Here is a 25,719-nt window from a genome sequence, read left to right on the forward strand (position 1 = left end):
GATTTTTTTTTCTCATTTTTGCTAGCATTGTTTGCTTCTGAGTATGTTAGATAACCTTATTTTGTCACTCTGCCCTAATGTTGACTCTTCTATACTACATAACAATGCAGGAGCTAATCATGAGATTGTGGATTAAGCTACATGAGATCCTCTTAAAAACATATCTGTGGAAGCACAGCATATTATAATTAAGACAGTTTTCACAGCCTTGAAATCCTCTAAAGGCCCCAGGGTTGGTTTGGTTTGGTGCCAGAACATGTCAGGTTGACAGCCAACAATCATTGCTTGTTTCATTTTTTGTTTTAACAAAGAGAAGCCTTCTGGCCTACTACTCCTGCATGTTACATCACCACACTACCACAGGAGTTTGATGAGTTTCAATTGATTTAAGTTGGCACTCATTATAAAATGATAGATGCTGGGCTGACACAAGATAAGACAGTCATTTCTACATTGGCAAAATAAAATAAAAGTTGGGGGGAAGGATAGCTTTTCTTGCTTCAACAATTTAGTTCTATCCCCTTATCTTGCTCTATTAACTTTAACACACGGTTTTCTATATCACATTAAGTAAAAAACAATTTTTAAGTGGATTTAGGATCAGACACTTCAGAAACATCACAGGGTGAGCTAAGGAAGGGGGGCTCACAAAGGCATAGAGAAAGGTTCGTCTGAAAAGCTCAGAAAGAGCCATAGAGAGCTTTGTCATGGAAGCCAAAGGGTTGTGGATTTTTCCCTTATAAAGTATATTAAATAAGGTTGAGAGAACTTGCTCAACAAAGAAGTTGAATATGAAAAAGGCCTGAAAGTGACCATTGGCATTGACAATTAGGATAACATTAATTACCTCACAGAGCAACTATGACAGAGTTGTGAAGGTAGATAAAGTACATTGTGAGGCAGTATGGATAATGAAAATCTGGATTCTAAGTAGAAATGCGGGTATGAGCAGCCAGGATATTGATAGGGGCAGTCAAGAAAAGAATTCTACTGAAATAAGGTAAAGAAAGATTTTTTTAAGGGTTGGAGAAAGGAGCATATTCACTGTCTGAAAGGAAGGAACCAGTAGAAGAAAACAGATTGAAGGCATAGCTGAGAGAGCTGAGTGCTGGGTCCATTTTGGATCCTATCTATATGCTCAGTTATCACCCTAGATTCTTCGACTAATTCTTTGTCCAAAGAAAATGCCAAAAGCTCTAGGCTAGTGTCAGAGCCTCAAGTCACCCTCATTGCTTTCTGCTACTTGCTGACTTTGTTACAGGTCCTAGTTCTTGGGTTCTGGCTCTATCCCTTGTGGCCAAGCCCTTGACTTAAGCCTCAATTCATTCCAATTATTCTATTTCAAGTTCTCAATTTGATTCATTTCTGAGAATTCTTGTTGAACTCTCTAGAAATGAGGTTTTTGCCTCACACTTCACTTTCTTCTTAGGTATGGTATTATACACTTATAACTGCCTACGTCGCAGCCATTTCCCACCTTCTTCTTCCTGGTTAATATAACCCCAATTCTGTTCAGATCTCCAGTGACAATATACTTTAAGGGATGGTCAGCCCCTTCCCACCCTGGGAGGGGAATTTACTTAGTCAAAGCTAGTTATGTAAATTCTATTTCCCTGGACAGTAATTGGTTCTGGAAAAGGATGTTTCAAAATTCTTATCTGATGGCAGTCTGAAGTCCTGGAAGAAAGATTTCCACTTTTTCTACTGGATATAGCTGTGTCTACATGGAATACCTGGCAAATGGACTCATCCAGCAACCATGAAAGAACAAGACAGAGCTGCCGAGCAAAAAGGAGAGAACCTGGGTGCATGGAATATTGTCAAACCACTGTGTTAGTTAGTGGTACCCAGAATTGCCTACCTTTGGTTTTCTTGTTATATAAGTTGTTTTCTCAAATATGTTTCATTGGGCTTTCTGTTTCTTAAAAAAGATTCTAAGTGACATACTGTAAAAGAAAAGGCTGAGAAAAACTGACTTTATTGAGGTCATACTACATAACAAATATTTTGCATCCATTATTTGGCTTAATTTTTATAACCACCTTATGAAGTTCATATTTGATCTCCATTTAAAGAGGAGTACAACCCAAAAAGCCTGAATTTTCCCCCATGAGGTCAGAAGTCTTGACCCAAAATTTTCATATGCATCATCAAGCATTGCATCTAGTTTTGACTGATACCTGTTTCCCAGACTTCAAACTTTTATGAATTTCAAAGTACTTCAGTAGAACATGGGGGTATGAGTAAAAATTGCAAAATAAGGCAGATTGTTCAAACCTTAGCACATTTATTAGTTTGGTGAACTAAGATTACTCAGATCCTAAATTCTGTATTAGTATTTGTAAAAGGCAATAATAGTACCTATTCACAAATTGTACAACATTTAACAAATACCAATACAGCTTAGTCATGTAACAAATGTGCTTTATTTATATTAATGCTGCTAGTGCAAAATATACAGTCAAGTTTTAAAAATCATATCATAGAATTTTAGGACTATAAGAGATTGCAGAAATGAAATTTTGTAATACACCTGCCATTGAGCATAGAAAACTTAACCTGCAATTCAAAAAATAGCTCAGAGCTAAATATATAAGTGATCTTCTTATGAGTTACTTTTAAAAAGCTAAATATAATAACTTTATGTCATTAAATTTATGATAACCGTCATTTGGAATTAATGACCAGCTACGTAAACACAGCTACATGGAGAAAGAAAGGAAAACAAATTTAGTTAGAATTTAAGAACATGGTCATCTTACTGCATTTTACCATATCTGGTGGACAACTCTGTAGTGTTGTATAATTGAGAAAACATTAAACTTGGAATCAAAAGATGTAGCTGACATCAAGCCCCTTCTCCATTATTCATTATGTCTGTAACTTTGTGCAAGTCATTTACTGCCTCTAAATCTCAATCTTTTTATCTTTAAAATGGGAGTGATAATTTAGCCTTTTGCTTATCTCACAGATTAATTCTAAAGTCAAAGTATATACAAAAGCCTTTTATGCATTGAAATATGCAGCATACATGAAAGGAAAATAATAAAAATTTCAGTGAACACAAACGGTGGAAACTTCAGACTGCATATTCTGTAACGTGTTCTTGAAGTTATTTTTCCTTAGGATATTTACTCATTACCTACTCTGAAGAATCAGCAGCCTTTCTGAAACTGCACACTACTAACATAGCATAGTGCCATGGATGGCTATAGATTCAACCTGAGCCTTTTGATGATGATGAGCTTTGAAGGATTCCCATCTCTAGAGCTGTGCGCACTTTGCTCACTGTACTTGATAGAATCAAGCTACAGGCTTAGCATATGATAGTTGGTTTGAGTCAAGTTTGGAAATCACTCAATCAAGAAACCACTCAATCACCCTGTCTAGAAAACAAATGAATTAGAGAAGAAAAAACCAAGATGACTCAGACCCAATTCTCAAAGTGTTTTTAATGGGACATTGATTCGGCCCATACTGAATTTTATTTACTAAAAATAAAAAATAATGTTGGCAATACTCTTTGTGGAGTCTCTTCCAGACAGCTGTAACATCTGAGAAACACTTGGAATGCTGCCTATAAAGTTCTATAGATAACAGCATCATCCTTATCTAGGATTATTTTTCTAATTCCATAAGGCCTTAAATAAACTGAGTCATTTTCCAGGAATGTCAGAAAGCTCTAGAAATCAGTAAATTGGGCCTCACTACTCGCTATTCTATTATTGCAATTATCAGTTGCTATGAAAGTCCAGAATTCCTGTTATCCATAGAAACTACGCTTTCTATGCTGATCAGATTCTCAGGCTGGCCCAAAAACTGACCGCAAATTCAATATGAGACAAATAGGAAGGGGCTGCTCAGAAAGCCAAGGTAATTACTGACTGCATTGACAGTGAACACTATACAAGATTGAAAACAAACTGGGAGCAAGAGAGCCATGTACCAATTCTGGGGTCATGGTTGAAAAGGAATATGTTCAAGAAAGACCAGAGAAATACAACTAGAAACCCACAAGTTATCTATTTCTTTCCCTTCATACTTAAGCATTTAAAAGGCATAGTCTACATTGGTCGACAATCCTCCTATTCACTGAAAAATGTATTACAACATTAGGTACATATAAAAGGAAATTATCAGTTTGGAAATACCACAAACTAGAGTATATATTGAAAACTGCAATTTTTTCATTATAAGAAATGCAGGCCGGGCACGGTGGCTCACGCCTGTAATCCCAGCACTCTGGGAGGCCGAGGTGGGTGGATCACCTGAGGTCAGGCATTCAAAACCAGCCTGGCCAACATGGAGAAATCCCATCTCTGCTAAAAACAAAAAAATTAGCCAGGCGTGGTGGTGGCCACCTGTAATCCCAGGTACTCAGGAGGCTGAGGCAGGAGAATTGCTTGAACCCGGGAGGTGGAGGTTACAGTGAGCAGAGATCATGCTGTTGCACTCCAGCCTGGGTGACAAAGCGAGAGTCTGTCTCAAAAAAAAGAAAGAAAGAAAAGAAAGAAAGAAAGAAAGAGAAAGAAAGAAAGAAAGAAAGAAAGAAAGAAAGAAAGAAAGAAAGAAAGAAAGAAAGAAAAGAAAGAAAGAAAGAAAGAAAGAAAGAGAAAGAACAAAAAATAAAAGAAAGAAATGCAAATGCCCAACTTTTCAAGGAAATGTCAAATTGTCTTCTGAAGTTATTGTACAAATTTGTCACCCCACCGGCAGTGTATAAACTTTAACATAGTTCCTCATCTTTCTCTACACTTGATATAGTCAGATTTCTTGATTTTTGTGGCTATAAAATTATATTCGATTATGCTTTTAATCTACATTTTTCTGATTATTAAAGAGGTTAAATACCTTTTCTTCCCCACTTATTACTCATTTGGTTTTATGTGTATTCATGTTATTTGTTTATTTTTCTATTTTGTTACTTGTTTTTCTTAATGATTTATAAGGGTTTTAAAAATGTGTGTGTGTGTGTGTTTGTGAAACTAACCCTTTATTGGTTAAATGTGTTGCAAATTTTGTCTCAGTTACTTGGAAACTTTTAACTTTATTTATATACCTTTTGATGAACAGAAGCTTTCCAATCCAAAGTAGTTAAATTTAAGACTTTTGTTCTATGTTAACACTATTCGTTTCTTTTTTGAAGGAGTTCTTCATTACTCAAAACACCTGAGATAGTCTCCTATATTTTTTTTCTAAAAGTTTTAAAGATTTCACATTTAATCCCTTAATACATCTCCAATTGATTTCTGAGCACGATATGGTCCTCCTATCACTTTTCAATCCACGCATTTTTAATTGTGTTGCAGTTCTCCTCAAAATTTGTTCTGCTTCAGGTCATGACTGAGCTTCATGTTATCAAAGTCAGTGAGCAATTTCGTGATTTTTTTTGGCAGTATTTGAGAATCTAGACAACTCTTCCCTTCTTGAAACTGTCTTTCATTTCATCTGTGACATTACTCTCTTGACTTTCCTTTTACCTTTTGCTCTGATCTCTCTAGCTTTCATTGCCTCCTCCATCTGTCCCCATAATGCTGATGTGACCCAGTGCTCCATCTTCAACCACTCCTCTTCTCATATACTTAGTCTTACCCAGTGTCCTTCCCATAACCATTGTTTAGTAGACATCTATATTCTAACGATTCATACATCCATTAACTCAAACCCATGTCTCCAGCTATAATACTAGATCTCTGGAGCCAAATGACTACTTGGCATTGTTGGCAAGATTTCCTAAGGGCATCTCAAAATCAACAACTTTAAAAGAGAATCTTTCTTCTACTCCCCCTCCTTCCAAAATCTGCTCCTCTTGCTTCATGACTTACCCCAGATGTTGACACCACCCTCTACTTGGTCAGCAAGTCAGAAATAGAAAGCCATCCTACACTCCTCCCTTGCCATCACTGCCCTTCATCCTCTGCATCTCATCAGCCAGTTTGTCATAGAGATTAATTTATATGAGTATCTCTCATGTGTGCAGATTCCTCTTCACTCCCTCTGCTGCTGCCTTAGTTCAAGGACCCATTATTTTTCTGTTGGGCATTTGCAGTAGCCTTTTAAATTGTCCCCCTGGAGCCAGGCTGTACCTCCAGAATCTATCATCTGCACCTTTCAGAGTAATCTTTATAAAATGCAAATCTCATCATAAGACAGGTAGGGTGCTATCCTCATGTATACAATATTCCTACACTTCTCAACGCTCACACTGCTCCAGGCCACAGTGCCAAGCCCATTACTCTACTCAGAGATGGTCGCCAATCCTCCTGCAGTTACCAACGCAGAATTTCCACTGAGCTGCCACCTGTAGATTAAGGCGAATGCTTTGCCACCCACCAGTTGTTACTTTAGTTAGTTCTTAGCCCACCCAGCTACCACCAGAGTATGAATTCTTACCTCAACTCCTTTTTCCTTCAGCCAAATAACCACATTTGAAATCCCTTCTTGGCCTTCAGCTATGATCTCTGAATATCTCTTTCCACAACCAAATATTTTGGAAATTCTAAATTCTTTACCAAATAATATTTATTTGTTGTAGTGTTTCAAGACAAAACATGCAAATCTTGGCTGCTCATTGCTTGACCTAATCCCTAGTAACCTCCAAGTTAGGTCTCCTACTCCTCCCACTACATTTTACTTCCAAGCCATCTTGTGCTCTTACATGACTCCAAGTACTTTCTATCTTATAATTCCTACCAAAACTCTGTCTCCAGCCAAACTCATATCTTGAGCTCCGCATCTAACTCCTACTAGACATCTCCATTTGAATGTGTCCTAAACACTTTGAACTCAAAACTAAATTCATTATATGCATCTATCTCCAATTATCCTTCTCTTCCTCAAATTACGTAATATCTCATGAAATAGCACTAGTATCTACCCAGTTGCCAAAGGAGCCATTATTTCCTCCTATTTGCTTTAAATTAAATCAATCATTGAGTCACCACCTCCCAAATATATCTCAAAACGCCACCCTTACTTTTGTCCTCATGCCACCATCCTAAATCAAACCATTATACGTCCTTGCCTGATCTATAGTGACAGCCTTCTGATGAATTTCCCTTTCCCCATTTTTTCTTTCTTTTTTTAACATAGTTTCACAAGGCATGGTAGCAAGGAGTCATTTTCCAGACATGCAAATATGTTCATGTCCCCTGTTAGAATCCCTTGGTAACCTCAGTACTACTTCCCTAATATGAAGTAAAATGGGGGTGGGAAGGAGGAGTAGACTTCATGATCCCCAAAGCTCTTATTTTTCTGGGTCAAGAACACAAAAGGATCCAGGAGCCTTTATAAAACAATCTTTTACTTCAGGCTAAAGTTGTAGTTACTCGAAAGTATTAGAAGGTCCACAAGGGAGGTATGGAAATTCAAGAGCAGCCCCTTTATTCCATTCTACTAACCTCTTCACCGTCAAAATAGCCAGCCTCAAGAATGTTTAGCTCTTGAATATTGTGTCCTCTTTTCCCTTAACAAGTTTTTTTTTGCCCCTTTTTCCTCATTCCCAGGGTCATACCTCTTCTCATGTTAGTTGTCAGTTCTGTTAAGTTTTTTCTAGATGGAGATGGAGAAGAGATACAGGGAAAAGCAATCTCACACTGGCCAACTCTCCTTGAATGGTACCTGCAAGATCGTCAGAATTTTCACAGTGCTGTGGACTTCCATTATCTTTTATTATTTTAAGAGTGTCTGTCTCTTTTCTTTGTCCTAGTTGGAATATACTTGATTCCAGAAAAAGGAGAAGAAAACACTTGTGTTCTTAAAAAACATAAAAATAGTATCCATTTTTAAAATAGTTTATAACTGGCCTTGTGTAATTATTAATATTTACCTATTCTGTCTCATCTTTCCCCATACTGCTACTAACATTTGATGCATTATAGCAGATGCTCGCTCCTCTTCCATGTCTGGTCAGTTTTCACCATTTCTGTACAGGCTGACATAGTCATAGTGTAAACACCTGTGACTATGCCCGATCACCTTCTCTAGTTACGAGAGTATGCCTGGCTAGCATGTAGGGCAGGCCAGACATGCTGGGGGGTTAGCATACTCAGGAGCAGCAATTGACAAACCATGAATGGGAATTTGTAAATAAACTTCCAGTTTCCTCACACTTTGAGGGGAACAATTTTGAAGAATGCTCTGCACAGTCTTTCAGAGGTCTCTGGTGGGGTTAGGTACTAGTTTCCTAAGTTGTAATTTTCTCTGTTAATGTACCCTGTGTTGACTTTGTTATCTTCTGTCTTTCTTCCTCCCTTACCTACAAAAGTTTTTGCAGACCCACCTCTCAAACTGCTTTCACTCAAATCTTTTATCTCAAGTTCTGCTTTTGAAAGAACTGAACTTAAGACAATTAGTGCTAAAATAGACCTAAAAAACAAAACTTCGGACTGTATTTTTGAACTGATTATTCACCAGTCGGATAGCAACAGGTCCCATTGCTGGTAACACATGGGCTGGTGATAAGTTGTAGCATGCTGTAGGTAATAGCATCACTATTACTAAGCAAATTCTTAGATTTCATCTTTGATGAACTGGGATCAGGTAGAAGTAAGAAGGCAACACATGATCTTAAAGTCTGTGAAATTGGTTGGGTATGGTTAACAGCCATTAAACCCCCGACGGAAGAAAATGACACTCTTAGGTCAACAATTGTCAACAGGACTGGGGGTGACAGTCAGAATGTCTTCATGGCAATATTAAAAAAAAAATCTTTATCACTTGTTGCCAGGGAGCACACATTGCTTTAAATCAGCCCCAAAATTTGATTGGAGGGGTGAAAGAGTTACGAAGGAGGCTGAATTAAAAGCCTCTGTCAGGAAAGGAATTAGATTATATGATGTAGGATGCAGACATCTGAGTAAATATGTTTGAGAATTTTGAACCTCTAGAATCCTGTCGGATGCCAAAAGTGACTTCACTTGTTATAGGAGGGCAGGCTCCTATTGCCTGAAGTCTATGAAAAACTCTCCCCTGCTGTAAGGCAAAGGATTTGCAAGAGAATGCTCATTTCTCAGGAGCTGTATTTGCCTCAACTCACCGTTTCTGGACAAGCAATTAGGGTCACATCTCAGTATCATCAGAGCAGGGAAATACTGTTCCTACCACAGGAGCAAAGCAAGTATTCACCAAAAGAATGGGAGGATCTGGCTAAAGCAGGAACTAGGAGAATATACCTGGGATGGATATTGAGGGTAATGATGGGAATTGGGGGAAGGATAAGCTGAATAATAGAGACCTCTTCTGTGCCTCTAGTTTAATATCCTGATAAGAGTGCCTGGAGACAGTGTAAATATTGCACCACAATGTCTGTTTGAAGCTAAGAAATAACAATGGCCTATAGTAAATGAAGTAGAGTTGCTAAAACAGTCTTGATAAAGTACTGAGGAGGATGTCAAAGGTCTTAAAGATGTGCGTATGCTGGGATGAATTTACTGCATAACATGAGAAAGCCCAGCAGTTTTCTGTGTTCCCCTCTGAGGGCAGAAGTAGAGCAGAAGACACTCTTTTCATTGAAACAGTAGTGAATAGGAAATGCGGTAGTGAATGGGGCAGCAGCATCATTGAAAAGCTCACGGATGGCTGTTCTCTATTGCACAGTGTTTACAAAGGAAGGAGATATTGCAATGGATCTGGACTGAGTGTCCATGGAGACATTAGGATTCTGTAATAGCAAGTCAGATATTGACAGTTACAGTGAATAACATCAAGGCTGTTTTCATGCTGCTGATAAAGACATACCCAGGACTGGGCAATTTACAAATGAAAGATGTTTAATGGAAAACTCACAGTTTCACATGGCTAGGGAAGCCTCACAATCACGGGGGAAGGCAAGGAGGGGAAAGTTACATCTTACAGGGATGGTGGCAGGCAAAGAGAGAGCTTGTGCAGGTAAACTCCCATTTTTAAAGCCATCAGATGTTGTGAGATGTATTCACTATCACAGAACAGCACAAAAAAGACCCACCCCCATGATTCAATTCAATTATCTCCCACTGGGCCCCTCTGACAACATGTGGGAATTATGGGTGCTACAAGATGAGATTTGGGTGGGGACACGGAGTCAAATCATATCAACAACCATGGGGCTTGACCTACAGATATTTGAGGTAATGGCAAATCGATTATTGGTGTTTCTAGGGAGGACATTAATGGTTAGCCAATGAGTATGTAACATGATCACAACAACAACAAAAAGATCTAGAACTGGTAAGGGAAAAGCTAATGTCAATTACTGCAATGGAAGATTATAATCTCTCATGCAGTTTCTATGATTGAGTCAGTTTTCAGACACAGGACTCCTTAAATGAATGACATGATTGTTGCACTTAAGAAGGACTCCAGAAGGTTACAGCAAATATATACCATAGCCATCACCCTAATTCTTTCTCACAATGACCTAAGGCCATTTACTAAAGTCTCTATAAGTTTGGGAAAGGAAAATACTTAAATTTTATGAGAGCCACTGAATACAAGGTCTAAACTGATACTGATAAGAGGTAACCTGACATGGTTTTCCTGGGTCCCCACCCAAATCTCATCTTGAATTGTAGTTCCCATAATCCCCATGTTTCACAGGAGGAACCCAGTGGGAGATAATTGAATCATGGGGGTGGTTACCCTCATACTGTTCTCGTGATAGTGAGTTCTCACAAGATCTGACAGTTTCATAAGGGGATTTTCCCCTTTTGCTTGGCCCTTCTCCTTGATGCTGCCATGGGAAGAAGGACGTGTTTGCTTCCCTTCTCACCATGATTGTAAGTTTCCTGAGGCCTTTCCAGCCATGCTGAATTAAACCCCTTTCCTTTATAAATTATCCAATCTTGAGTATGTCTTTATTAGCAGCATGAAAATAGACTAATACAGGACCCAACATGCCTTCATGGTCCCCTGTTAAAGTGAAAGCATACAGAGGTCAGGCAATAAATAAGTCCTGGTCAAAGTCCATCTCACTGTGAGCCCATTGACCCTGTGATCATTTACTAGAACCTTGTGTGCATAATCTTTTTGGATATATTTGCTTGCTGGCAGAATCCTCACAATAGTTCCCTGACATATGGAGTTAGAGCCATTTTGGATAATAAAGGCCTAGTGAAAACGCTTGAAACTATTCATGCCCCAGGTCAAGATAGTAAATTAAAAGCAATATTACATTCTGGACAGAATAGCAAAGAATTGTAGCACTCTCAAAGATTAAACAATGCAGACATAATGGTGCTCACCTTATCTCCATTTAATTCACTGGCATTAGCCTACACAACCAGATGGACGTAAGAAGGTCTGAAGGTAAAAGACTGAACTGCAGACATTTAGTCAGATGAAGTGTCTTAACTAAAACAGATCAGCATGGGCTCTAGAACTTAATATGAGATTACTCATCTAGAGATAGCATTCTTTTCCATCTCCATCAAAAAAAGAGGGACTAAGAGCAGTTTGCTTTTACCTGGGGTGGATATCAGTACATATTTACAGTTTTGCTTCTAGCTAAGGGAATTCTTCTGCCCTCTGTCATAATATAGTTCTGGATAATCTTAAAATTTTCATAAACATCGCACTTCTGCATCATATTGATATTGCTGGAGAGCAAGAAATGCAAATATATGTGCCACTAGTAATATCCATATGTACGCTGGTGACAACCCCAAAAATTAATCAAAATCCTGCCATATTGGTAAAGTTTTAGAGGTTTATTGCCTGGAGGAATGCTTGGATATACCCTCAAAGTTACAGGACAAATTCACATACCTTGCCCCTTCTGCCACTAAGAAAAAAAGCATAACCCTTAATAGACCTCCTTATAGTTTAGATATAGCATATACTATACTTGGAACTACTGTTTTTACACATTTATAGGGTAATACTGACAGTTCCCAAATTTGTTAAAGACTAGATAAAGAAAGGACTCTGCAGCAGATTAAAGATCTGCCATTTGGCCATCTGACCCATCAAATTTCATTTTGGTAGAGATATATAAGGCAAATGAAACTGTTTGGCGGAATCTAAGATTTCTGAGCAAGGCCATCTCATATGCAGAAGAAAACAAATAAAAGAGAAATTCTGGCAAGCTACCAGTAGAAACTAGTTGCATGGGCCCTGGTAGATGCTAAATGCAAGGCCATGAGATATCAATTGACAATGAAACTGAAAATGCCCATCAGGAAATAGCCACCTTCAGATCCTTCCCTTTCTATCCTAAAACAGTAAAAATTCAGAGTACAGTGGAAATGGGGATTGTGTTCTAAAAGGTCCAGATCAGATAAGTTAATGTGAAGAGGTGGCCCAGACCCCTCTTCACCCCAAGTCATCAACCTTTCTTCTTCAGGTCACACATATAGTCCCATGGTGCATTCCTATATCCTGATAGGTTTGTTCTATATGTTGGGGCAAGACATTAATCAGGTGACTGCTCTTGCACTACAGCCCAACTCATGGGTGGCCATGAAAGATGATGGCAAGGGCAAACTGGACAGTACACCTGGTCATCAGCTTCCTGTGAAGGGAGAACTAAAAGTTCAGACCACTTAGGGATGAAAAGATGATGTTCTGCGTAATCTCACCAGGCAAACAATTTAGATCAGTGAAAGTGTTGACAAGGTGAGGGAAATCCAGAATGATTGGTAGAAAACACAAATGATATGTTTCAAATTTGGCCTTGGAACCAGTTAGAGCAACAGAGATAATAGCTCATCTCATTATCAATCCCATTATATTTTATTAGATTGTGACCAACCACCTAGCCACTGACAAAACAAAAGACTCTGTATGGGACACTATACCTGAATACATTTTACTGCAAGCACCGTGACTCTGCATGAGAGCTTTCTCTGGCTACAGGAGCTTGCAAACCTACACTCACCCTACATGCTGGCAAACCTGGAAATGTTGTGGAGTTGACATCTTTAAGAACGATCTTCAATCAATTATAGTTTGGATTTGATAGATAAATATCCTGGCTTCTTCACCCCTCAGATATAAAAATTCCGAGGCATGCTCTACACAGTCTTCCAGAGTTCCACAGTGGGACTGATCCCCCATTGTTCAAATAAGTGACCTGGTCATTAATGCATTCCATATTGGGTTTCCTACTTTCTTAATCTTTTTTTCCACTCTTCCCTAATCACCTTCCAAATGAACTACTTTCACTTCCTTAGAAAGAGGGATCCTTATCCCAGGACAAATTAGATTCTGGAAATGTGTATTCTTATCACTTTCTATATGTCCCTTGTCATAGCACCACATTTATTGTTATCACTTGTCATTTTCCAATTGACTATAAGTATTAAGAAGACAGGGATGATTTCTATCCTGCTCACAACAAATAGCAAATGTCTAGCACAGCTTAAATATAGTATAAACCCAACAAATATTTGTTGAATGAAATCACTTGCAAACTAAACTTATCACAATGGCTTCCTTCCATCTCAGTGTAGAATAGAAAACCCAGTTGTCTTCTCATCTCCAGCCATCTTGCTAGATGTACATTTTATTTTATTTATTAAATTGCAGTTCTCTGCACAAATCGTATTGTCATATTGCCAAGGCTTTGCCCATTTGTTTCTTCTGCTGTTATAGTATTTCCCTCCTATCTTATTCCTACCAATCCTTCAAGTCTCAATTAAAGTATAACCGTCTCTGGAAATCCTTCCTTAATACCTCAGTAATATTTAGAGGTCTCTCTGTTCCCAAAGAACCTTGAGCATAATTCTATTATAATTCTTTCTAACATTTTAAAACAATTGAAACTTATTTTTCTTTCCCCCCAAACCCATAAGCTGCTCAAGAAATGAATCTGCAGGTGTTTTATTTTTATGAAGTGCCTAGTACAGTGTCTGGGGGAAAATTATGTGCTCAACAAGTATTTTCTGGCTGAAGATGAACATGAAGTATTAATATTATTAAGAACTAGTGACGTTTAGCCTGGAAAGAAGTCTTACGGAATGCAGGGTATTTGTCTCAAGTATTCAAGGGCTACCTACAGGAATAAGCATTAAAAACTTCGGTGTTTTTCTCAATGGATTATGGTTAATTGCTTTCTGAGTTTGCAGAATTAGATGCTTGGGAATGTAAAACAAAATGCTTATTGGTTGCAACAGCTGCTGATGTGTGTAGTTTCTTATATCAATTACCAAATATTGCTGTTGGCAGTTGTTAGCAGTTTGATATGTATCTGTACTTGTTAATAGCAAAGGCTTTGGGATCTAGCTGCCTGGGTTCAAATACCAATCCTGCTTTTTAATAGCTACACAACCTTGGGAAATTCAAAGTAATATTTCAATGCCTCAGTTTTCACATCTGTAAAGTGGGTTTAATAAAAGTATCTACTTTACAGGGTTGTGAGGGTTAAATAAATTATCATATGTAAAACATTTAAAACAATACGTGCTACACAGATGATCGTTATAATACAGCCATTTTATTCAACCCACTAGGCCAAAGCAGGTCCAACGAATGAAAGTATTAGCATATTTGGATTCAATATGAAAATGACTTTTGACAATTTGTGCTATCCAACAGTGAAACTAGCTGTCTCACAATAGTAAACATTATACTACTGGAAGTCAAACCATCCAACCAAGCAGTGGTTATCTACACTGGAATGTAGTCGAGATTTTTAAAAAATTCTAATATATTCTGATTCCATGACTACTCCAGCACCACATTGTGATAGCACATGCCAATATGTACATCATGTCTTTATTTAACCACATCAAAACCCTTAAAATTTAAACTTTTTTTCCCTTCCAGAAGTAGGAAACTAAAAGAAATGAAAGAGAATGAAAACTTTGACCTTTAACACTTTCTTTAGCATCTCCTCCAACTAGATAACAAACAATTATTCAGCTGAAGAAGACATTAGTAAAGGCTTGCTAGAACCTTAACACTTAGAACACACGCACAAACTTTCTTACTGCCAATATTATTCCTCAGCTGAGACCATTCCTGAGCTTCATGATCTAGATCGGGGTCCACAACCACCAGGCCATGGTACCAGTACTGGTCAGTGGCCTGTTAGGAACTGGGCCACACAGCAGGAGGTGAGTGGCAGGCAAGCAAACATTATCATCTGGCTCTGCCTTCTTCAGATCAGCAGTTGTATTAGATTCTCATAGGAGTGCAAACCCTATTGTCAACTGTGCACATGAGGGATATAGGTTGTGCGCTCCTTATGAGAATCTAACTAATGCCTGATGATCTGAAGTGGAATAATTTCATCCTGAAACCATCCCGCAACCCTGGCCATGGAAAAATTGAACGAAACCAGTCCCTGGTATCAAAAAGGTTGGGGACCACTGGTCTGGATGACACATACTGGAGGGTCATAATATTGCCACTTAGACTTCCATGGGCACAGGTGGAGAGATGCTGGAGAAAAGGAAGTTTTAAAGCCATAAGAAGGCATAACAAAGTCCTAAATTCTCATTCATTTCACAAGAGCCTGTCTGCCCCATAAAGAAAAACTAAACAACATTTCACTAAGGCTAACCCCTGAAGTTTGGTCTGGAAACAAGCACTATTTTTTCCAATTCTCCATGTTATCCAGCACCCCATCCCCCACGGCCATCACTCTCTTTCCCAGATAATAATGTATCTAACCATGGACACATAGAAACTCTCACAGAAACAACCTGTATTTTTTTCCCTGACAAAACCATTATATTAGATTGTATTCCTTGTTTCACCACCATTTTTATTCCTTCCAGCAGTGTTTTAGGTTGCATAAATCCAAGATTTAGAAAAAGAAATTGATACAGATATGAATTGAATCACTCAAACAGAAGGGTCACATTGAAAGTTCTCTAATGACATTAGTCCAATAACTGGAATTCAACAATGAAGTTTCTAAAAACAAAAGTATAGGTCTTCGCATGTTTTTCTCAAGTATTCTTTAAATGGAAACTGCGTGGAAATGTAAAACCTCAATCACCACAGAATTAGTCTCTCCCAAAAGCACTGAGACAAGTTGTAGCCCTAAAACAACAGCTTTATTCATTGTACTTTTTAAAAAATTGTCATCATACTCTCCTGTCTTTTGTCATGTACTCATTAAAAGTGACTCCTTAAAAAACACTATTTAGAGTTTCTGTTTGGAACTTTTAAGCACTATTATTGCCCTGTTGGAAAACTGCCCTAAAACTTCCAGGTAAGGAAGCCAATCTACTCTACTGAAGCAGCAGAAGACAGGGAGACCTGATGTGACCCAGCTGACAGCCAACACCAACATGATAATGAGGCCACCTTGGACAGTCCAGCTGACTAGCTAGTAGAATGCAGCTGCCTGAATGAGCCAAGAAGGCAAATCAGCAGACAAACCACCCTGCCAACCCATGGAACCATGATAAATAATAAATTTGTTTGTTTTCACAAAGGAAGTGTGGGGATGATTTGTTACACAGCTGTAGATAACTGGTGTATCTTACATGAAAGTCCCATTTCCTCCAGGTGGTTCTGGTTTTCTGCTATATCTGGAATAGTAGCTTATGCTTCTCACCTCTCTAGTTCTGGAGAAAATGAGAATACAAGAGTCTGAACCTGGATTGATCCATAGTTGTTAACTTTTACAGGCCTACCCTATGCTACCAAGACATGTACTCTATATTTTGAGTTTTGAATCTTGAATGTGAATCATTCTTGGTCATTAGAAAAGGCCTATTTTGGTTGTTCAGGAATAAACTTCTGTCTTCTGATTTTTCTTTACCTGTAATTTTATTCAAAATGTAGGATGATGAATTCCCATGGACAGCTAGCAAATTATCTGATGTGGGAAGCAGGTTCAGGATTTCTGAACGGTGAGTCCCAGTCTATTGTTTTCATCTAATGATAGCCTTGTGGTCTATTTTCATCTTTCTGGCCCTTGCCTCAGAAGAAGGAGCCATCCTGGCAAAATGCCTTTGCAGCTTTTTGGAAGTGATACAATCTGAACATGGCCATAAGTGTAAACAACGAATATTAGGGTCTCAGTGTTAAATATTTTCCCCACTCTCTGATGGTCATGATATGTTCAAAAAGGAAGGGATGGGTCATTATGGCTGGTGGTAAGTGACAATTTTAGGATTTATTTGTTCTGTCTACCTAGAAACTGCTTCAGAAAAAAACAGTCAAGGATTTTGTAAGCACAGAAGTGCTGTTTTGTTATAGTCAATTCAAAAAAGAAAGATAACGATGTGGTCTAGTGGTTTACACATGTATTTCAGTGTCAGCAACTCTCATCCAACTGTAATCTCATCCAACTGTCTTTCTGGCTGACTCAGATTACTTAAGAAAAATTACCTAACTTCTCTCTGTCTCATTTTTCCTACCTATACAATGAAATAAACCACCCTTATAGCACAGAAAGAATTTTTTAAAAATTTAACTGATATTTATAAATACCCAGGAAATATATGCTATGGTGATCCAAAATACACACACACACACACACACACACACACACACACACACACACACACATGCATGCATGCACATATCTTTTTTTTTGACTCTAAAATATCTTTTACTTCATTTAAAATCTTAGAGAGAAAATAAGATGGGAACAGGGAGGTTTGTAATTTTTTTTTCCCCCATTTTAAAGGCATCTCACTCCTAGTTCAGCAGCATGGAGAAAGATTTGTTGTCAGCTCCTAGGTAGGGCAGTGATTCAAATTCCCAAGGTTTGTGGCAGCATCTGAGAGAGATTTTCAAAGCTCCATTTTCTTTTAATTAGCTCCCTCTCTGCCTCAGGCAACAAGTTCAGGGAATCAATAGGCTAGACTGAGTAAAGACTTTGTAGGTATCAGGAGCTACAGTATGTTAGGACTTGTCAGACCCTGGATTCAGGTTTCAGAAGGTAAGCATCACAGGCCCAAGAACATTCAGAAAGGAGATTTCAAACAGAAGCAGCTCACCAGCTTCGGGAGACTGTCTGACCCTGATTCCCAGACAGAGATTACCATGGCTTTCAACCACATGTTGTCCCTGCACAAGTCACTGAAGCTCCAAGGCTTGCCCTAGAGGCCTACAGATCTAGCCAGACTCTGGTTAAGACTTAATATCACACTTGAGAGAAGCTGCAAGTATGAATTCAGCTGAGGTGTTAAAATACTTTTGGAGTGGTTCTCAATGCTACATACTATCTGTTCCCCTTATTATTATTTCTTCTTCTTCTTCTGATTATTATTACTATTAATTTCTCTTGTCATAGTAAGTCTTTCCCTGCACCCAGATGTCGTGAGTAATGTTGGCAATATTTTTAACTTTGTGGGGCATAACTTTAATCTGTGCCATTATTATTACTTACTTCTTTATTTATTATAAGGACAAGCTGCATGCAAGGCTGACAACAGCCTTGCCAAGTGAGGCATGGTGGATTTGTTTTCCAGAGTTCACATCTCTAATGAACAGTTCCTGCTGATTTAGATGCTACAATAATTGTTCTGGAGCAAACTATACAAAGTCAAGGGTAGAACATTTGGGATTCTTTGTGAGCATTCATTATTTATTCAGGGAATAGAATTCTGAAATTCCTATCTAAAAAATCTGATTATGTGACATGGAAAAAATAAAAAAGACAGAGCCTCAGTAATAAATCAGTCAGTAGCTAAGATTAAGTGACAGTAAATACCATTAGGTCCTGTTCTATTTGAAGCTTTAAACAGTGTGACCCTGAGCGTTTGTCTAAAAGAATCACGAGGTATCTAAAAAGTTGGGAAACATGGATAAACCTATTTTTAAATTATTTGGTAATTATATTTTCAAAATTATATGTTCAAAATATTGTTGGTTATGATCTGTTGATATATCAAGCAATGGGTTTAATTTTTACTCTGGAAAAGTACAATGAATATAGAACTGAGTATCCAAAAAGTCTAGAAACCTAAGGAAAGTACTGTACTTACTGTATTTTTTAAAACTAATACCTAAGTATTTAGATATATGCTTTAAATTTTAAAACATTTCATCTGAAAATGTGTCAGGAGGTTGCAAGAAAACATATTTCATATATTGTTTGAAAATATAACCAACATACTGTTTGACAATGATTCCAGACTCTTTTGGACAACCTGTAGAATAGTGAACGATCCAATGTTGCTCATGCCCAAAAAATAAAAGAAAGGGCTTAACTAGATTCAATCAATTATTTTAACAAAGCTGCAGAAGAGGGCTGTGTGTGTGGAAAGAAACGAAGGTGTGATTATAGGAGGGTAACATAGTAATCAATAAAGTAAAAAAAATGACTGTATGGAGCTTGAGAGATGAATTTAGGGATGGGAATTCTGCTCACTCTATGGGCATATTGGGTCAAGTGCATTATCAGGCTCCCCCATGGCTGAGACAAAAACATCACCTGTGTCAAGGTGAACCATCTCCCCTTGCCTTAAGTCCTTGTTCTTTGAGGAACCTTCATGATTGCAAATTCCTGCTTTCCAGGTATCTCAAGCCAGGGAAAGGGCATACTTTGGTTATAATTTTAGGCCATAAATCCACAGAAAGGATTTATGTCTCTCAGCCCTTCAATTTTCCTTTCTAATGTGTGTGAGACCAAAGTAAGCATAGTCCATATTGAGGATCTTAAAGCAGAGCCACCATTAATTGTGATACAGGTATCAAAATGTTAAACATGCATATCCTCCTGTACCCTTTTCCTTTCTTTGAACCCTAGACATTGGGCATTTTATAAACATTGGAGATCAAAAAGAGTAAGTAGGCAGTACCCAGGCTTCATCTCTGATGCAAGAAAAGTTACCTATACTAGGGCAAATGCTTCTCTGACCATTCCACCCATGACCAATACACCTGATGGCTATTGCTGAGCTCTTACAGCTTTTTTATAGAATGTTAGCATAGAAAACCGTGTCAGGTCTGTCCCTGGGGTCTCTGTAGTCGTGGAGAGAGGCCAGTCAGTATGGCTTCACTTATCTGATTGACAAAGATCTGTACTCTCTACTTTCTGATAACAAAAATGAAGGAATGGTCAGCCACGATTAGAAATCCACTGATCCTTTACTTTTGAACTATTTTCACTTTTCTTTAATGTTATGTTTATGTCATTTCTCAACCTTTCTTTGTTTTTCCTCAATACACAACAAAGCATTCAAAGCAATGAAGTATACCTATCCAGAAGATAAGCACTTGCTAAGGCCCTATTGTCCTATAATATATGGATAGCAAATCAAGCAGACCTCTCCATGTTAGTGACAAATTAATCCAGATTCATTCTAACTTACATTAGATATCATTCTATTGTGCCTTTGATTGTGGCACCAATCTGTAGTCACCTCTGTAGTACTACCGAAATAGAGTTTTCATATCTATAAAACTGAGAATTAAATTATACAACCTGATGAATTCATCTACAGGAAAACTCCTATATATTTTTTGATGTCTGAATTTCTGGTTTTTGCTTTTCCAAATTTTATTTTCACAATGTCATATACCTATGAGCACTGTTAGAATATGCTTTGGACCAACCCCTGAAAAGAATAAAAGCATTACTCATCCTATGTGTTTTTTCCAAAGAAATGAAAATGTACTTAAAATTTTTAAGTAAACAGTGTACTATAAGGGAGACTTTGCTTTAATATATGGGGGTTAATAGATTTTTTCTAATCACATTTCTATCTTATTCCATTTTCCTTTAAATGGGTGGGTACACTTGACAGCCCTGAAAAGTGAGGCACTAATAGTAGTGTCAGGGGCCAAGAATTGAACAAGCTTTCCTACATCACCCCTGTGTCTCACCCAGAGCTGTACCAAATGTTTAATTTTAGTCTTTGGCTCAATGCCAAACACCTGGAAATGGCATCCAGCCAGAGATGAACACAAAGCTAAACAGTGGGTGAGCAAGTACATATGTCTTTTCTTATTTTCCCGTTTTTCAACTATTAGGTAAATAAGGTAGTTATTAGGTAAATAAGGTAGTTATTAAATGATGACTTCTGCAAAGCCTGCAATTTTAGTGTTCACATTTCATCTTACCAACACTGACCAGTCTTCTCAGCAAGCAACATTTTTATAATATCTGTATGAAAACCAGTTTGACTTCCTACTCAGTGCCATCTTTGAGGAGGGATTTCAGCCTGTTGTCTTCTTAGACTAGAATGTACATAAGAAGCATGTCAGATGCCAAGTTTGTTGAAATGCAAACTTTGTCACTGGTAAGTTTTCAGTCGCTGATATTTCTGCGTGGGCACATCCCTCCGCACTTGTTCATGTCATAGCACTCAGGACTCCTGACTCCATTTCTGCACCCACAGAAACCACATTTCCTCTCAGTCCTTCTCACTTCACCAATCCACAAACCCTTTAACTACCCCTGAAATACGGAGATATTTCCCAACATCTCCACAAATATAACAGAAAGCTTTTGTGGTCTCATGTAACCAAACTTATAACCATATGCACGCCTTCTTTGACCAAGAAAATCACTCATCTTTCTAGTGTGTCCAATTCAAGATTCTTTGCAATAGACCATGGTACATGGAATTTGAAGGCCAAATCCTGGTGCTATGGATTTCAAGGGAAGCAGGCACATATACAAAAACAATGAAAGCAATGCTACATTTTGTCTAATGCTTTATCTTTTTAGGTATATATAGTTTGTTTACTTTTTTATAAAGACGCTAAATTTTGCTTTCTCTTTGAAATAAACATGTGGCTATTTGGTACAACTTTCTGGTCTCAGAAAGTTGTACGTGTACATGATTTAAAATGAAATTGAGTGATGTAATTACGCTTTCATGAGCCATAAGCATTCCTAAAGAATCCTACATAAATCCATAAAGTAGTAAAAGGTAGTTTTGATTATTAGTAACAAACTTGCCATTTAAAAATACTGTTGTATATTGTATTAATACCTTTTGTGCACCTTTTCAGGTTTTCTTAGTTGTATCTGTCCTGTTCCAGACACCAACTTGACCACCTGATCTGTGAGGGCTTAGGTGCAGCATGACAGCACTTCACCCCAAGAATCTACCTCTCATTTCCCACTTGGGGCTATTCTGTTGACACCTCAGCTTGGGACCAGGAATAAAATCCACTCTCCATTTACACATGTACCACCCAGAGTGTGGGAAAGTTAACACCCTCTATCAGTTTGTTAAGGCTGCCGTAACAAAAGACCACAGGCTGGGTGGCTTCACTATCAGAAATGTATTTTCTCACAGTTTTGGAGGCGAGAAGTCCAAGATTAAGGTGTCAGCAGGTTTGGTTTCTTCTGAGGCTTCTCTCCTTAGTTTGCAGATGGCCACCTGGTCTTTCCCTCTTGCATACAAACCCCATGGTGTCCCTCTGTGTGTCCACATTTCCTCTTTTTATATAGGGACACCAGTCATATTAGATTAGGGCTTACCCTAAGGGCCTCATGTTAACTTAATCACCACTTTAAAGACCTTATATCCAACATAGTTACCCTATAGAGTTACATTCTGAGGTATTGAAAGTTAAGACTTCAACATATAAATCAAGGACGGGGACAGAAACAATTCAGCCCATAACACACTGCATGGGTGATCAATGCGGGAAGGAAATAAGAGTTAATAAATTATCTTTTTATTCCCCTAGATGGATGATCCTGATTGACATTTCATGTGACAGTTCTCAATCTCTTCGTGATTGGGAAAGTGGCACTTATAACCACCATCTACTGGCAAGTCATTGGCTCTCTCTCCTTCTTGGCCTGGTTTCCCTGTCCCTCATTCCTACCTTTTTCCAGGATCACAAAAGCCGATAACAAGCTTGCACTCAGGTTCTGCTTCCTGGAGAGCCCAGGCTGATATCTCACTTCATATTTACAACAACTATGCAAGATATGTCTTCTTGTTGTTGTCTCATAAATAAAGAAACGGGAGAGTCTAACAAGATAACTGACTTGTACAGAGTCACACAGCTAGTAAGTTACAAAGGCAGAACTCTGATTTAAGTCTTCTGCCTCTCATCTTGCATTATTTCCCAGGTACCACAATATCTCCTAGCAATTTTTATTTTCTTAATTTTAATTTTTTTGAAACAGTGTCTTTCTCTGTCACCCAGGTTGGAGTGCAGTGATGCAATCATGGCTCACTTCAGCCTCTACCTCCTGGGATCAAGCAATCCTCCCACCTCAGCCTCTGGAGTCACCGGGACTACAGGCACGTGTAACCATGCCCAGCTAACTTTTAAATTTTTTGTAGAGACAAGGGCTCACTATGTTGCTCAGGCTAATCTCAAACTCTTGAGCTCAAGTGATCCTCCTGCCTTGGCCTTCCAAAGTGCTAGGTTTACAAGCAAGAGCCACTGCGCCTGACTTGTCCTAGCAATTTTTATGTATCATTGTGTGTAATTTAGGCCATTTTCCCAACCCAATTTTAAAACTGTTTAAATGGATTAGAGATAAGACATCCCAAGTACATAATTCATTTCCCTATTACTTAAATGCTCTCCTTTCCCTTCTTCCCTAAACCTATGAGTTTGGTAATCCTTTTACATGGCTTACTTATATCTGAAATTACTTTTATTCAATAGAAAGTATATAAATTAAAATCTCTTTATTGGTATTATCACGATCTATACCTTTCCAAGGAAACCACTTCTCACAGTCAAATTAGGGAGGCTCTTGTATCTTAATCAAAGCTTAACAGTTTAATCGTTCATTAAACATGAGAGTAATTTAGTGTCCTACTATGCAATCATTATTGTTTCCTGAAAATCTGGTATGATGAGGTACAATAAATGCAAACTGAAATATTGCCTGTGGAAAGTTATTTATTATTTCTTCTAGCTAAAAACATTCATAACTGAAATTTATTGGCTCATACTCCCTTCATTATAAATATTTTATGTTCTGCCTCAGGGATCCATGTCTTAGCATTTAAATGTCTCAATCTTGTGTCAGTAACAGGAAGAACAAGTTCACTGGGTGGAATTTTTGCCCTTTGCTTCAGAATGTTACAATAATAATAGGCTATAAATATGTTATAATTATATCTTTGATCATTGCCGTGGTTTTCTAGCCTGAATGAATTAAACTCAAAACTAAAGCTGAGCTGATAGGCAAAAATGACAGCCGTTATCTTATACTAAAATTTTTCTGAAAACCATATTAATATAGTAAAAATATTTAGAGTGGCCAGGATAGTACATCATTTTTCCTATTACTGTACTTTTACTTTAATGTGAAATAGTACCTATACCTATTACCACCCTTACATCTCAATAATGGTTTACATTCATTTAAAGTTTTACTTTTTTAGTTCTTTCATGTTCTAGTCACAATAACAAACTTTGAGGTACTAAGGACTGTTGCTATAATAGTCATCGGTCAAATGAAAAATGTGAGGTTCAGGTAGTTAAAGATGTCTAACTTTTTTAATGTTAATATTTTTAGTTATGAGATACAGTAACATAGTGCAATGGTTTGAATTAGGCTTCTGTTTTCTGCCGACCTCACCTGATGGGGTCAGCTTGGGGTAGGAGGTGCAGTGGAGAAGGAAATGGCAGAGAGGAGAGGACATGAGCAGGTGACAAAACAGCAGACGACAGGTAATGCTATCTGGAGAGATGAGGGTATAAGACACAGGGAATATCCCTCATCGGCTATATTCTCCCAGATTCATCTCCCTGTATAAAGCCTACTGAGCAGATTACTGAGAGATTCCTAAAATTGTGTAGCTTTCCTAGAAACCCCAGACAGCTGTGGGACAAAGACTTGTCCTTACCGAGATGAGGCGTACTAGATTGCATTAGTTAATGGAAATTTTAAAGTTCCATCTGGAGGACCTTTTAAGAGTTCTTTATCTCAGTCCATTCTCTTTAAAATTCCAGATACAAACTTTTGAGACCCACCCTTCGTAAGAAAAAAAATGCAGAAGAAAGACAAATTGGATTTCATTTCAAGAAAATTGAAAATAAAATTCTTCATACTGGTGTCTTAGTTCATTTGTGTTACTATAACAAAATACCTGAGGCGCCTAATTTATAAACAATAGAAATTCATTTTTCACAGTTCTGGAGCCTAGGAAGATTAAGGCACTGCAAGTATGCTGTCTGGTGAGAGCCTGTTCCTCATAGATGGTACTGTCTAGGTGTTCTCATATGGTGGAAGAGACGGAAAGAGAAAAAGAGATGAACACTGTGTTCTCACATAGCAGAAGAGTGAGACAGAATGAACCCACTCCCTCAAGTTCTTTTATAAGGGCCCCAATCTCATCCCTGAGGGCTCTACCCTTATGACTTCACAGCATCTAAATACCCCACCTCTTATCATATTGGCGATTAAGTTTCAATGCATGAATTTTGGGGAAAACATTCAGACCATAACACCTGGTATTAAATTATCCATAGAAGAAATACATGAAGGAAGGACTAACTCCTCTTAGTGTATACAAACATGTTGACAGAGATGCTTTCCTTAAGAAATATCATGTAATTTGAAGGTAAGATGATTTTTTTCTTTTTCTTTTCTTTTCTTTTTTTTTTTTTTTTTTTTTTTTGAGACGGAGTCTCACTCTGTCACCCAGGCTAAAGTGCAGTGGCACAATCTCGGTTCACTGCCACCTCTGCCTCCCAGGTTCAAGCGATTCTCCTGCCTCAGCCTCCTGAGTAGCTGGGACTATAGGCGCGTGCCCCCCAAGCCTGGCTAATTTTTTGTATTTTTAGTAGAGACGGGGTTTCACCGTGTTAGATAGGATGGTCTCCATCTCCTGACATTGTCATCTGCTCGCCTTGGCCTCCCAAAGTGCCGGAATTATAGGCGTGAGCCACTGTGCCAGG

The 25,719-nt window shown here is 38.1% G+C and overlaps 1 long non-coding RNA gene across 2 annotated transcripts; it reads left to right on the forward strand.

Moving 5' to 3' along the window:
* The first annotated feature begins 941 nt into the window (after nt 1–941).
* On the forward strand, nt 942–24,874 carry LINC01878 (long intergenic non-protein coding RNA 1878). Of its 2 annotated transcripts, NR_131941.1 has the most exons (5): nt 942–1,000; nt 16,717–16,784; nt 22,534–22,618; nt 23,002–23,099; nt 24,772–24,874. It is a non-coding gene; the product is annotated as a long intergenic non-protein coding RNA 1878 (long non-coding RNA). The 2 variants fall into 2 exon arrangements; NR_131942.1 differs by lacking the exons at nt 16,717–16,784; nt 22,534–22,618; nt 23,002–23,099; nt 24,772–24,874 and adding an exon at nt 1,622–2,331.
* The last annotated feature ends 845 nt before the right edge of the window (nt 24,875–25,719 follow it).

Source organism: Homo sapiens, chromosome 2 (assembly GCF_000001405.40).
Source record: "Homo sapiens chromosome 2, GRCh38.p14 Primary Assembly".
Taxonomy (NCBI): domain Eukaryota; kingdom Metazoa; phylum Chordata; class Mammalia; order Primates; family Hominidae; genus Homo; species Homo sapiens.